Source organism: Homo sapiens, chromosome 10 (genome assembly GCF_000001405.40).
Source record: "Homo sapiens chromosome 10, GRCh38.p14 Primary Assembly".
NCBI classification, from domain to species: domain Eukaryota; kingdom Metazoa; phylum Chordata; class Mammalia; order Primates; family Hominidae; genus Homo; species Homo sapiens.
In genome coordinates, this window is record NC_000010.11 from 64,781,807 (window position 1) to 64,796,219 (window position 14,413).

A 14,413-nucleotide genomic window follows, 5' to 3' on the forward strand; every position below is an offset into this window, starting at 1 on the left:
TGGATAACAAGCCCTACAGGGTGATTGGCCTGCTCCATTTTCTGTCCTCTCTGAACCACCAATGTTTGTTTGTCTGAGAGCCATGACTAAGGCTGCAGCCTTTCTCTGATCTTGGTTTTCCTTTTGGGCCTGTTCCTCTTGGTCCCTATTGTAGAACACCGAGGTTGCCAGGTTTAATAATGCCTCCAGATTTTGTTCAGGGCCCAGATCTCACTTTTGGAGCTTTCTCCTAATATCGGCAGCTGATTGAGTAATAAACTTATCTTTTAGGATCAATTGAGCTTCTAGTGAGTTGGGTGACAGGGGAGTATATTTTCTTAAGGCCTCTCGTAGCCGCTCGAGGAAGGCAGAAGGATTTTCTTCCTTTCCCTGAGTTATGGTGGTCATCATTGAATACTTCATGGGCTTTTTCCTAATTCTCCTTAGTCCTTCTAGAAAACAGGTCAACAGATGTTTTCAACTCCAGTCCCCATGATCTGAGTCGGGGTCCCAGTGGGGATCCATATTGAGGACGGCTTGCTGAGTGGTAGGAATGTGTCCCTTTCTTTGGCTGTCATTCTATCATTTACTTGACTAAGATACCAGGTATCTTCAAACTCTTGGGCTGCAGCTAAAGCCACATTCTTTTCATTAAAGGCAAGGGTTTGATCTAACAATAGCATGACATTTCTCCAAGTGAGATTGAAGGTTTGCCCTAGCCCCTGTAGGACATCTATGTACATATCAGGATCATCTGAAAACTTCCCCAGGTCTGCCTTGATCTGCTTTAAATCAGAGAGTGAGAAGGGGACATGTACCCGGGTTGGGCCAAATTCCCCTCCCCCTACAGCTTGAAGGGGACATAACTGATAGTCCAGGGGTTTTTGTGGTCCTTTGGAGATTTCTTTGCTTGTTTCCTTCTGGGCAGGGGAGATTAGAGGAGGCTTATCACTAATAGGAAGGGGAGCTATAGGGAGGCTAGGATATTGGGGTAAGCTGAGAGGTCCTCCTGTGGTATGTAAATTGCAAGCTTTGCATAGTTATGTATTCTCCTTCAATGAAAAGAAAGCTTGGACATAAGGTATTTCACTCCATTTGCCTTCTCTCTTACAGAAAAGGTCAAGCTGCAGGATAGTATTCTAATTTATACTTCCCTCAGGTGGCCATTTTTTCCCATCAGAGGGAGAATATTGGGGCCAGGCCATAGTGCAGAAAAAAATGAGCCACCTCTTTTTTAGGGTTTGCAGGTCAAATTGGTCCCAATGGCTTAGGATGCATTTCAAGTGTGAGCCTTTTGGTGCCTGAGTGTTTCCCTTCTGAAAGACAAAAATGCCCATGGTTTTGGTCTGTTTCTCCCACACCCAAGAACCTGCAACGGTCCTTGGACCCTGCTGATTGGAATAGTTGCGCTCACTGACTCAGCAGCAGAAACACCTCTTGCTCAAGAACCTGCAACAGTCCCTGGACCCTGCTGATTGGAATAGTTGTGCTCACCGACGCAGCAGCAGAAACACTAGTTTTCCTCCTAGACCACAAGGAGGACCGAGGAATGTCAGATGTAGTGGCCCTTACCAATGCATTCTCAAAAACCTGTACCCTTGCCTGTCCTCCTAGACCACAAGGAGGATCGAGAAAAATCATATTTAGTGGCCCTACTGATGAATTCTTGAAAACCTATTAGAGTCCTAAGCATTCTCCTGTTTGTATTGGGACTTTACCCATGTCCTATAAAGATGTTATGCCCCAAAAGTGAAGTGGAGAGCCATACCCTGAGGGAGGGAAGGGAACTCCAGAGTGGGAAGAGTGATGCCTTTTGTCCTCACTTGAATAGGAAGGATATCATTTCTGAAGCTCCCCATATCCTAGCTTCAGGAATAACTTTTTTTAGGCCTGCTAGTCTGAGGAGGGATCCTAAAATTCCAGATAGGCCCCCCTCCAATGGGGCTTTGCGCAAAAATTAAGTCTTTCTGATTGGTGAGCCTGGGTGCCCAAAGAAGTTAACAGAATCCTGAAGTTTATACTATAAATCATTCTTATAGGAGAAACTAGAAAAGCACCAGAGACAGGGAGTGGTTTTTAGAAGCAGTACTAGCCTCAGAGAAGGGAGGTGGGAGGAAGTTTGTCTGACAGGCGTTAGGACCCAGGAGGCAAGGGTCAGGATAGATAGGATAGATGGGCGAGTCTTGCTTGGGTGACATGACTTTGAAAGTTCCGTTCATGGCTGCAGGGTCAACCAACTTGTTGTTGGGATCCCAGAGCTGAATGGCTTTCCTCTCTGTTGACCCTCAGTTCAGCCCGGAAGTACAGGAAAAGTGGAAGTTGGTTCCAGGCAAACCAATGCTCCCAACTCCGAAGAGTTGGGGGTTGTTAGAGAGCCCTTTCCCAGAAAGCCTGACACCCGTGTCTTTAGTCCGGTGTCCACGCTAGTCGCTTTTAAGTGGCCGACAGGTGCCTGGTATTTAGCCCCTGAATTCTAAGGAAAAATAGGACAGAATAGAAAGCAAAAGGGGTCCGACGGTACTCACCACTTGGTGACAGTCTCTTCATGGTCACCAAAATGTGTCCAGAATTGGTTCCTTCCGGTGGGTTCTTGGTCTCACTGACTTCAAGAATTAACCCGTGGACCCTCGCAGTGAGTGTTACAGTTCTTAAAGATGGTGTGTCTGGAGTTTATTCTTTCAGATGTTCAGATGTGTCCAGAGTTTCTTCCTTCTGGTGGGTTCGTGGTCTTGCTGACTTTAGGAGTAAAGCCACAGACCTTTGCAGTGAGTGTTACAGCTCTTAAAGGTGGTGCATCTGGAGTCGTTCATTCTTCCTGGTGGGTACGTGGTCTCTCTGACTTCAGGAGTGAAGCCGCAGACCTTCACAGTGAGTGTTACAGCTCTTCAAGGTGGCACATCCGGAGTTTTTTTTCCTCCTGGTGGGTTTGTGGTCTTGCTGACTTCAGGAGTGAAGCTGCAGATCTTTGCGGTGAGTGTTACAGCTCATAAAGGTAGTGCAGACCCAAAGAGTGAGCAGCAGCAAGATTTATTGCGAAGAGTGAAAGAACAAAGCTTCCACAGTATGGAAGGGGACCCAAGAGTGCTGCCACTGCTGGCTCGGGTAGCCAGCTTTTATTCCCTTATTTGGCCTCGCCTACATCCTGCTGACTGGTCCATTTTACAGAGTGCTGATTGGTGTGTTTACAAACCTTTAGCTAGACACAGAGTGCTGATTGGTGCATTTTTACAGAGTGCTGATTGGTGAGTTTACAAACCTTTAGCTAGACACAGAGTGCCGATTGGTGTATTTTTACAGAGTGCTGATTGGTGAGTTTCAAACCTTTAGCTAGACACAGAGTGCCAATTGGTGTGTTTTTACAGAGTGCTGATTGGTGAGTTTACAAGCCTTTAGCTAGACACAGAGTGCCGATTGGTGTGTTTTTACAGAGTGCTGATTGGAGCATTTGCAAATCTTTAGCTAGACACAGACCGCTGATTGGTGCATTTACAATCCTTTAGCTAGACAGAAAGGTTCTCCAAATCCCCACCTGACCCAGAAGCCCAGCTGGCTTCACCTCTCAGTATTGCTCTATTGATAAGGACAGGAGGTAGGGAAATTATGGGCAGAAAAAGGAGGTTCCCCTGCAAGGGCCCCACCCTCAAGCTGAAAAGCCTGCTACTGTGGCCCAAAGTGAGCACTTAACATTCCTGTTTTCCCACTCAAATGTTGCCTTTTCCAAAACTATCCATGGCCCACCCTGCCCCCCATCATGTGCTCATAAAAACCCTAGGCTCAGCTGGCAGAGAGAGGAGAAGTAGCTAGATGTCAGAGACTACAGCTGGATATCAGAGAGAAGTGGCTTGACTTCAGAGGGACAGCTTGACAGCATAATTTCAGAGAATAATTTGGCTGGAGATGGCTGGACTCCAGGGGAAGATTACCTTCCCACCCCATCCTCTTTTCAGCTCCCTTTCCCACTGAGAACCACTTCCATTGCCAATAAAATCTCCTGCATTTACCATCCTCCAATTTGTTTGTGTGACCTCATTTCTCCTGGACACCAGACAAGAGCTCAGGTGCCACGAATGCAGATGCAAAAGGCCATCACACTGACTCTTTGCCTTCACTGGCAGAAAGCAGCTGCGTCACATGGAAAGGCAGAGGGCCCACTGAGCTGTTAATACTTAAGCCATCTGCAGATGGCTGAGCTGAAAGAACATTGTAACATTCTCTGGGGCTTCAGGGATTGTGGGCGTCCACCCCCAGATGCTACTGCAGGGCCAGTATGGAAATTGCTTCCATTGGCACCCAAAAGCACTTGCCTCAGCTCCTGCACTCACTCACTGCATGCTCCCCCAGCAAGGGGTGGAACAAAGGGGCTCCTCACCTGCAAGAGGTGGAACACAGCCAGTTCCAGTGAGTGGAGTTTGTCCCTGTTGGTGCCAGAGCAGCCAGCTGACTCCAGCGCTCATGCACTCCTGTTTCCACCCATGAAGGGGGACAGGGAAATATCCTGCTTCACTATGAACCCACAAAGGCAATCAAAATAAACTAGTTTCTAGACCTCTGCAACATTAATGTCATTTAGTGTTATGTAACATCACATGTAGGATATTAACAGTGTGATTCAGATAAGAAATCATCAACACTACAAAGTAGTTCCATTTCTTTAGTAGTTTTTCTTTCATTGTGAACAGAAGTTATTGGTTGTAAATTTCTTTCCTGCAGTGTTAAGCATGTCTGTTCATAAACTTCAGTGCCTAAGTGCTTAAATCAATTGCTTAAATCATAGCACATGTATATGTAAACACACTCACAACTACTCAAGGGGTAGCACTAACATAAAGCACAGAAATATCTTACAGTATTCACGGGGGGAAAAAGAAAAAAAACAAAGCTGAGTTTGAATTCACCCTCATGTGCTTAAGAAACACTTATCTTTTTCATTAAATAAATGCAAATTCCTGGTCCCACCTCCAGTAATTCTGATTTAGTAAGCATGAAGTGAGAGTCAGGAATCTACATTTTCAACAATTATCAACAAGTGACTCTGAAACTGGAGATCCAGAAATTAAGATTTAGAAAAGATAGTTTTAATAATAAAATCAGTTCCTAGAGTGCTGAAATATGCACTCAAGTAACATTAATAAGGAGATCATGTAACATTTTAATCTGAAACATCTCTATTTAGATTAGTTTGCTACATTTAGACATTCTCCGCAAAGAATGTATCAGTAATGTTTCATGTTGGTGTAACCAGAAGTGCCTGTTCTACTGTTTCTACAGTTTGTCCATTTTCAAAACAATTAACTAGTATAAAAAATGCTCTTCTTACAAACACACAAAAATCATCCTTAGAAAAATGAATGCAATGATGTAATTAGACCACTGCAGTAGTGTCTTCGTTGCTATGACAACCTCACTTCTCTTTCTCATCTAGTCCATACTAAACATATTGGTGTCAGCTACCCACTTCAGTCTTTTCATTGGCTTCCTCCATCTCAAAAATTCTTAGTGAAGCAATGTCCCAACATTAAAAACAATCTTCAGTGTAGCATGTATGAAATATCCAACATTAGTTATCACTCTTCTCTTAACACGAACAATTGACTTTAGCCAAATTTCTACCAAATTTCCCTTTAACATTTCACATTTATTTCTAAACATATGCATTTTCTCTTGCAAATTTTTGCCTCAAAGGCACTTTCTTTAATCTACATTCAACTTTTATGCAAAAGTCATTTAAATAAGTCTCAATATTTCTGTCCAAATACCCTATAGCCCCACTAAGTGCTGGGATTATAGGCATGAGCCACCGTGTATGGCTTATATCATGTATTCTAAATGTACATATATTTTTCATTTTCATTTATTTATTTTATTTTTTGAGACAGAGTCTCACTCTGTCACCCAGTCTGGACTGCAGTGGCATGATCTTGGTTCACTGAAACCTCCACCTACCAGGTTCAAGATCTTCTCTTGCCTCAGCCTCCTGAGTAGCTGGGATTACAGATGTCTGCCACCATGTCTGGCTTTTTTTTTTTTTTTTTTTTGTATTTTTAGTAGAGATGGAGTTTCACCATGTTGGCCAGGCTGGTTTTGAACTCCTGACGTCAAGTGATCTGCCCACCTCAGCTTCCCAAAGTGCTCGGAATACAGGGGTGAGCCACCACACCCAGTCAATTCTTCGCTTTTATATTCCATCTCTTTATTTGGGGGTAGAGCCATGCCCTTTACTGTCTCTTCTTACTCGTTTTTGTAACCCTAGTACCTTGTGCAGAGTAGACAAAAAATAAATATGTAATGAAAAAATAAACACATTAATGTACAATTATAATGATTATGTAATGGGATATGTTTTTCCTTAAATTTATTATTTATATAACATAGCTTTCTATGGACAAATAACATATTTTTACTTGGATGAGACATGACTGATGATTGTTTGTAAAATCAACAAAATTGTCAGTATCTTCACAGCCAAGTTGGGGATTTATGAAGGAACTATTTGTTTCAACAGCAAATGTTTTCCACTGCAGAAGTGTTAGCAAATCCTGAGGCATAAACATACACATTGGAGCATGAAAGAAGTTTGTCTGCAGTTTGTGTGTTAGAATTGTGGGAGTTGTTATGGCAGATGACACTTTTGCTCAACAAAAGCTGTTAAATTTGCTTGGATTCACTGAAAAATTTGGATGTGTATACGATTCATTTAAGACAAGTGCACCAGAACAAAATAGGGACATTACATACAGATATAAAGGTCAAATGATGAGGAAGAATTAACAGTTATAAATGTGTTTGCATGTAATAACAGGACCCAAGATATATGAAGCAAAATTGAGGAAACCAAAGGCAAAAGCATAAGAGTTTATTATCTCTCACTAATTGATAAAACAAGTCCAAAAAAGGCTCATAATAATATAAAAATGTGACCAATACTATTAATCATCTTGAATAAATTGCTATTTATAGAATATGACACACAATAACAAAATATTTGTTCTTTGAAATTCATAGGAAATGTTCACAAAGTTTGATCAAATGTTTCTTGAGTTTCTAATTGTTCAAATATTATACAATATGCACTGTAAGAGTACTAAATTATAAATCAGAAAAATAATATTAAAGAAATTAATAAAAATAAGATATCAAAAAGTCCCAAATATATGAAAATTAAATGACACAATTCTAAAGAACTTTATTTGTCACAGAGAAATTTTCCCCAAATGATGATTATGAAAACTGAATATCTGGAAGATGGAGTTAGAGTGTTATTTAGAGAGAAAGTTATTGCCTTACATGGATATGCTACTTCTTTCAAAGGAAAACAGGTTTGCATATATGTTTCACTTTATGAATGTAGATAAAAGAGAGCAAATGAACCACTAAATAAATAGAAGAACAGAAATAAAAACAATAAGAGTAGAAATAGGTAAAAAAGAAAGAAAATGAGACAAATTTGGTTTTTTAAATAATGAACAATGTTAACTACTAGCAAGACTGATCAAGAAATACAATTGTTAAATAACATACAAAAATTTGGCTGTGTGAATGTTGAGCACATAAAAGCTGAAGACTACCTATTACAAAAATATTGCGGTTGATAAACCATAAAGTATTTTATCTACCTTTCCTTAACTTAAAAATAAACACGGAACAATTTTCCATGTCACTGAAGGGTTTTCCCTATCACCATTTAAAAAGGATTGCATAGAATTTGTTACACAACTCAATCAAAAGTATTTTTAATAAGTTTCATAGAATGAGGCATAATTTCCTATAATTTCTTATAATAAACTCATGTGATATGCATTTTTCTTTCTGTGTCTGTGTACACATTCTTAATTTTTCCCTTGAGTGAAATTACTAAAAGCTAATGCACTGATTTAAGGACTCACATGCAGATTGCCAAATTGCCACTGAAAGAAGATTGTAACTCTTTAAGTTGTGTTAGCAGTGTATGAGCATGCTCATTTCCATTATGAAATATTAACTTTGTATTTTATTATTTAAGAAATCTAGCTAACTTGATAAAATTGGTAGTCTTAGATTTAATTTTGCCATTCTTTGCTCATAAAAGAGGTTAAGAAACAAATGTAACGTGATCACAGTAGAAACACTACAAAAAGCAGATGGATAATGCATTTTTAAAATAAAATTTTACTTTCCATATTAGGATTTTGGTGTAGGCATTCCCAGATATTTGCCACAAAAGTGACGACCATATTTGTATTATTTGAACTACTTGAGATTCACCTTCTCCCCACTCCCCCCACTTGCCTCCTGCTCTCCAACCAAACCAAAGTAAATACCCAAATAAACTGTGACAAACATCTCCTCTCTCCCAACAATTAAAAATTAGTGCTTAGCAATGAACTCTAGAACTGGGGCGGGGGAGAGGGGAGTGGGAAGAGGTGTTCCCTTAAGTGCATCGGGAAGCAGATAAAATGGGTTTATAAGGAAAGAATAATAATGCAACAGTAAAAGAGAAATAGAGACTAGTAGACTAATTGCAAAGGGGGAACAATGAAATCAACTTGCTTGTAGAGTCTGTGTAGCCACAAAAGCTAAGGTTAGATCAAGTTAAGTGTGTTCTTGGAGCTGAGGTTGATCAGTCTTCACAGGCAGCAATAAGGCTATGCTAGTATAGCAGTAGCAGGACTTAGTGAAGATAGTTATATGACCATGCAGCATCTCCACAGTCTAACAATTCACCTGCACATAGTAATTGGTTCTATAATGAGTCTCATCAAACGTCCCCAGAGAGGAATTGTTCTAGTATTATATCTAGCTCAAATTATCTACTTCCACTGAATTTCCCATCAGGATTAGTTAAGGGAACCTTTTTTAAAAATAACAAATTTGATCGATATTTTTATATTCAACCATATTTTTTAAATGTGGACTATAAAAACAAATGCTTTTGTTTAAGCACAAATAGAAAAATAATTAAAGGTATACTGCTTGAGTCACGATGTCTACAGAGGAAATAATCCAATTTGGTACAGAATCATTGAAGACATTTATACAAAAGAGCTTTTACTTGAGTTATTTGTAGTTTCCCATAGTGCATGTATACAAGTGTGTGTGCTTTTATATCACAAAATGATCCATAGAACCAAATAATATAGGTGAATTTGTTATCTTACCACAAGTTAATGTTTTGGTACATCATATTAAAAAATAACTATATAAATAATAAATACGTGTCTATGATTAACTTTTCCAAGTTTATGTCAATGAACTCTTGTTTAAGGAATTTAAAAGAAAAATGTATATTTCCATATTCACAATACATTTTTTTCCATATTGAAGTTTTAGTAGATAGATTTGGAAGTCATGTGGGAGAGAATACATTTATTAATGTTAACGTGCTAAATCTGAATAGGAAAATGCAACTTAGAATTCTAGCCAGAAGCAGTCTTTCCATGCTGCTCTATGTACTCTCCCAAGTCTGGAGCTTGGGATCTGCCTGTAAGCAAGATTGCATTTACAGAGCAGATAACACTTGCCTAACTTATCCACTGGGACATTCCACCTTTCTCTATGGGACACATTTAAGGAGACAGAAAGACTTGAGTCTATAGATGCATTTCTCAGAAGGCAGTTATTTTCTCAGAAGGTAGGCTTAGGCACTTATTTATTGGAATTGGGCTTAATAAGGTATCCAGTTCTCAGCTTTCCTGGAAAAGGAGAAAATGGCAGGGATTCTGAGAATAATAATACTGTAACACCTTAACTCTATTAACAGAGGAGCATGAATCAATGTATGTTAGATTATTGCCATTCCATCAATGAATAACTTACACATAGAAAATAGTGTGTAGGGAATGGAAAGAATTGGAGGTTTCTCATAAGAAGCATCATGGAAATAGTAAGATAACTGAAGAAAGAATCTTAAAAAAAGCTAAGTTATTAAAATTATCTCTTCTTTCATAATAGCTTATGTAAATTCAAGGAAACACAATGCCAAACAGTAACTTACTAGATGACACTTATGAGAAAGTGGCTTGTTCTTTTAGATTGGATTCAGCCTTTTATATAACATGTCTTATCAGCTAAACCTAATTACTGGGGATGAGGTGAAAAACCCAGTAAATATATGGGATGAATAAAGCTAGTAAGTTTAGCATTCATTAGATTCAAATTTGTGTACATAAATTAATGTGAGAACCAGATTGGAACCCAGTTTCCAGGGCTTTAAATTCCTTTCAGTACACTTCATTATATTATATTACATTACATTATATGACTACTTTATATTGTTCTCAAGTCAAAATTGTGTTATTGCTTCAATGTATTCAGACCTTGGCTGATCTGAAAGAGTTAATGCCTCTTCCATAAACCCTCTTTAAAAACACCTAGATACTATGAGAAACTGGGTCTTCCTGAGTAAAGTACTTTACTTACTTACTTTGGTGGTTTTATAGGTAATTTATTCCTTGTTAGATATGGGGAGAGACCTTGTGTCTTTCTGTCACCAGTTGATTTAAAGAAAACATGAGTATTTTTGGAGAAGTCTGAAGTTCAATAAAGGTTGAAGTCAGTTTGAAGGACTCAGATGTTAAAATATGTACTTTTAAGTCATGTGTAGAATTTTTTCATAACATATCACCTCCAAATAACAGAGAATATAAATGTAGGGTCTGGGTAACAATGTTATATTTTGAATTATTTCTTTGGCTTTGGCCACAATTCAGAGAAAAATAAAAGATCCATACGTACATTGGAGGAAAAACATTAAAATGAATGGAACAGGTGATATATCTCATAATGCTGAATTCTTGGAAGAGATTTTTCTTTAGATCCACTTAGAAATGAGTTATGTTATTATTGCATAAAAATATAAAATTACAATTAATATAAAATATCATATAAAATTATTTTATTTTGCATGACATCTTAATTCAAGGAATAAAAATTAATTCAAGGATATAAAATTATAATACATGTAATATAAAATTATTTTGCATAAAAGTTTTAATTCAAGGATTATTATTAAGCTTATTACAACTGCATAAATGAATGTCACTAAGTGATAAGGGTCTATGTTAAGCAAATAAAGAAAAATTGCTCTCTAGATGAGTCATTTAGTTCCCAGATTGACCTTTGTAAATTTTCTGCTGGTGATGATGACAATATGTTTTGATGTAAAAGGTGTCACCTTAATGATAACCATATAATCTCTAGTAGGTTTTCTTTAGCTTATAGCATAGGTTATTATTGTTTAAAATTATTATTATCTTCCTTATGTCACAAAGAACCCAAGTATAAAACTGATGTAAAATAAGTTAGCATGGCATTTTTAATCTTGTAGATTTGAAAACGGAATTTATTATTCTCATTTTATATCTCTATTTGTTATTAATTAATTAGTAATGTATGCAGGTAATAATTTATTGGGAACCCACTATGAAAAAACAAAAGAAAAAATGTGAACAAAATAAAGACAAAAAAAGTACAGGACAAAGAGACAGTATAATTTGTTGAGGTTCCTTGAGAATGTACTTAACTGTATGAAAACACCCAGAAAGATAGTAAGTTTAGTGCGAGTAACACAGTGCCTGAGAAAGGAAAAATGTAAGAAGATATTAACATATTTAAGGAAAAATAAATAAAGGACTTATAGTTTTAGTTTCCACATGGAAATAACTTAGAAGTTGCCAGGCCCATCCTTACAATATGAAAATCTAAACAAACTAAAAACCAATGACTTTTATTGTACTCAACAGAAAACTGAAGTTGCGAGCAAATTCCCACTCTGAAATCTGGAAGAGAAGCCACTGGGGCCATCAGCTGTTGGAGCACTTACATGATCACTTTGACCAGTTTTTAGAGTGTAAGTGTACACTGGCATGATAGTGAGAAATGCATGGGGCCATAGTCTTAGTGGGAGCTCACTCTATCTTGGGTTCTCCCCCAATAGTCCTACCCAGTTCTTATAGTGAAGATCCAGGAGACAACCCCCCTTGTGGCTCTGACAATGGGAAAAGAAGAATCACCGTAAAATTTACCCATGGAGGGCTCCATATCAAATTCCTTGCTGCATTTTGGATGTTTGTCCCCTAAACCTTATGTTGAAACCTAATCCCCAATGTTGGAGGTGGGGCCTAATGGGAGATGTTTGGCTCATGGGAGCAGATCCTCCATAAATAGATTAATCCCCTCCCTGGTGGAGGGGGAAGATATGAGTGAATTCTCACTCTGTTAGTTCCCATGAGAGCTGGTTGTTAAAAAGACCTTGGCACCTTCTTCCTTCTCTCTTTCTTGCTTCTTTCACCATATGTTTTCTACATAGCTGGCTCTTCTGCCATGAGTGGTAGCTCCCTGAAACTCTGACCAGAAGCAATGCTGGTGCCATGCTTTTTTGTACAGTCTTCAGAACCATGCACCAAGTAGACCACTTTTCTTTATGAATTACCCAGCCTAATCTACTCCTTTATAGCAACACAAACAGACTAAGACAGGTCTACACTCCAAGGAAAACATTTTGCCAGACTATATGCCACATGATTCCAATTACATGATATTCTGGAAAGATGAAACTATAGCAAGGATAACAAGTGATTTCCAGGTGTTGAAGGAGGGAAGAAGGTTAAATAGATAAAACATAGGGAAACCTTTAGGGTTGTGAAACTATTCTGTATGATAGTTAAGTTGTAGATCCATGACACTGCATTTGTGAAAACCTATAGAATATTGCAGCAAGAATAATGAACCTTAGTGTATGCAAATTTAAACAAATCATTTAGGGAGGATCCCAGTATGGAATGCAAACTTTGATATAACTGTATGATAAGTTTATAAAATAACCTCACCGAAGGGGTGGGGGTGGAGGGAAATGTCAACCAAAATAACTTTAGAAATGAGCAGAGTTTGTAAGACTGAAGACAAGAGACACCGCATGTAAGTAATCTACTCCAATGAGGAAGCTGTTTCCTAAGGGGGCAGAGAGAAGAGTAACGTTACAGTTGAACACCTAAAAATAACTACCATAGCCAGGTGATCGACAGTGATAAGTCATCTTAATGCTATGTTCCTTGGTATGATGTGATAAAAATGTCACTTTACTTTTGTGGTATTCTTAAAACTACATACTCTTAGTCTAATCATAAGAAAAACATCAGACAAATCCAAATTAAAGGACGTTTTATAAAATAGCTGCCCAATGCTCCTCAAAATTGTGAAGGTCATCAAAATTAAGGAAAATCTGAGACACTGTGATAAGCAAGGGACCATAGAGGCACACGACAACTCAGTCTACCATGCTACGCTGGAACAACAACAAAAGGCATTTAAGAAATCTAGGCCAGGTGCACTGGCTCATGCCTGTAATCCCAGCACTTTGGGAGGCCAAGGTGGGCGGATCACCTGACGTCAGGCCAGACCAGCCTGGCCAACATGGTGAAACCCCCATCTCTACTAAAAAATACAAAAATTAGCTGGGCTTGGTGGTACATACCTGTAATCCCAGCTACTAGGGAGGCTGAGGCAGGAGAATCACTTGAACCCAGAAGGTGGAGGTTGCAGTGAGCTGAGACCATGCCATTGCACTCCAGCCTGAGCAGCAGAGTGAAACTCTTGTCTCAAAAAAAAAAAAAAGAAAATCTAAATTAAGTATGGATTTAGTTAATTATAATGTATCAATATTAGTTCCTTAATTGTGATAAATATACCATACCAATATAAGATGTTAACAATGGAGGAAACAGAGCATAGGCTACATGGGAACTGTACGCTATTTTCTCAATTTTTCCGTAAATCTAAAACTACTTGAAGGAAAAATGTATTTTAAAAAAATAAATGGAATATTGGGATGATCCCTAAAATGCCGATATTGAGAGTAATATAGACAAGCCATATAGCTGATACAGGATTTTTTGAAGGCCTGTTTTCTTCCTAGATATTTATTTAAGTTTTTATCACATAGAGGCAATCTTTTTTATGTCTACAGTGGCTTAGCAATATGAATTCATTATCCTAATACTGTATCTCTTCTCACAAATCATTACCAGGCTTTTGCAATGGGTCAACTTGTATTTCAAATATTATCATCATTACTAAAAGATATAATGCATGTTTTTCAAAGGGTAACATACTTCATACATGATCCAATCCCTATTTATCTATTTTTCTGACCTTATAGTCTCCCTATTTTTACTACATTCTAGTTATGTAGAATTCATCTAAAGCACGCCAAGGTCATTTTTTTTCCCCTAAGAGTATTTCACTTGTTTTTTCTTTTGCTTTGAATGCTTTTCCCACAGATTTTGCTTGGCTGGCACTTTCTCATAAGCCAGGTTTCAGTTCAATCGTCATTTCTTCTGAAAGGCTTTTTATCTGACCGACTACTCAAAAGAACAACTTTATCTAGTCATGTTAGCTGTTGTCACTATCTGCAGTTATTTTATTTGTTCCTTTGTAGTACATTCTGTCTACCACTAAAATG

The 14,413-nt window shown here is 38.1% G+C and overlaps 1 long non-coding RNA gene across 1 annotated transcript in view, besides 1 other annotated feature; it reads left to right on the forward strand.

The window, feature by feature from the left end:
• Positions 1-11,838, forward strand: part of LOC107984239 (uncharacterized) — a 44,561-nt gene extending 32,723 nt beyond the window's left edge. The window contains exon 3 of the long non-coding RNA XR_001747475.2: positions 11,697-11,838. This is a non-coding gene — a long non-coding RNA (uncharacterized LOC107984239). The remainder of the gene's footprint in view (positions 1-11,696) is intronic.
• Positions 14,213-14,413: a silencer, noted in NCBI's record as "peak974 fragment used in MPRA reporter construct". NCBI's record gives its function as "represses an SCP1 promoter by STARR-seq MPRAs in K562 erythroleukemia cells {active_cell/tissue: K562}" and the evidence as "EXISTENCE:reporter gene assay evidence [ECO:0000049][PMID:32103011]".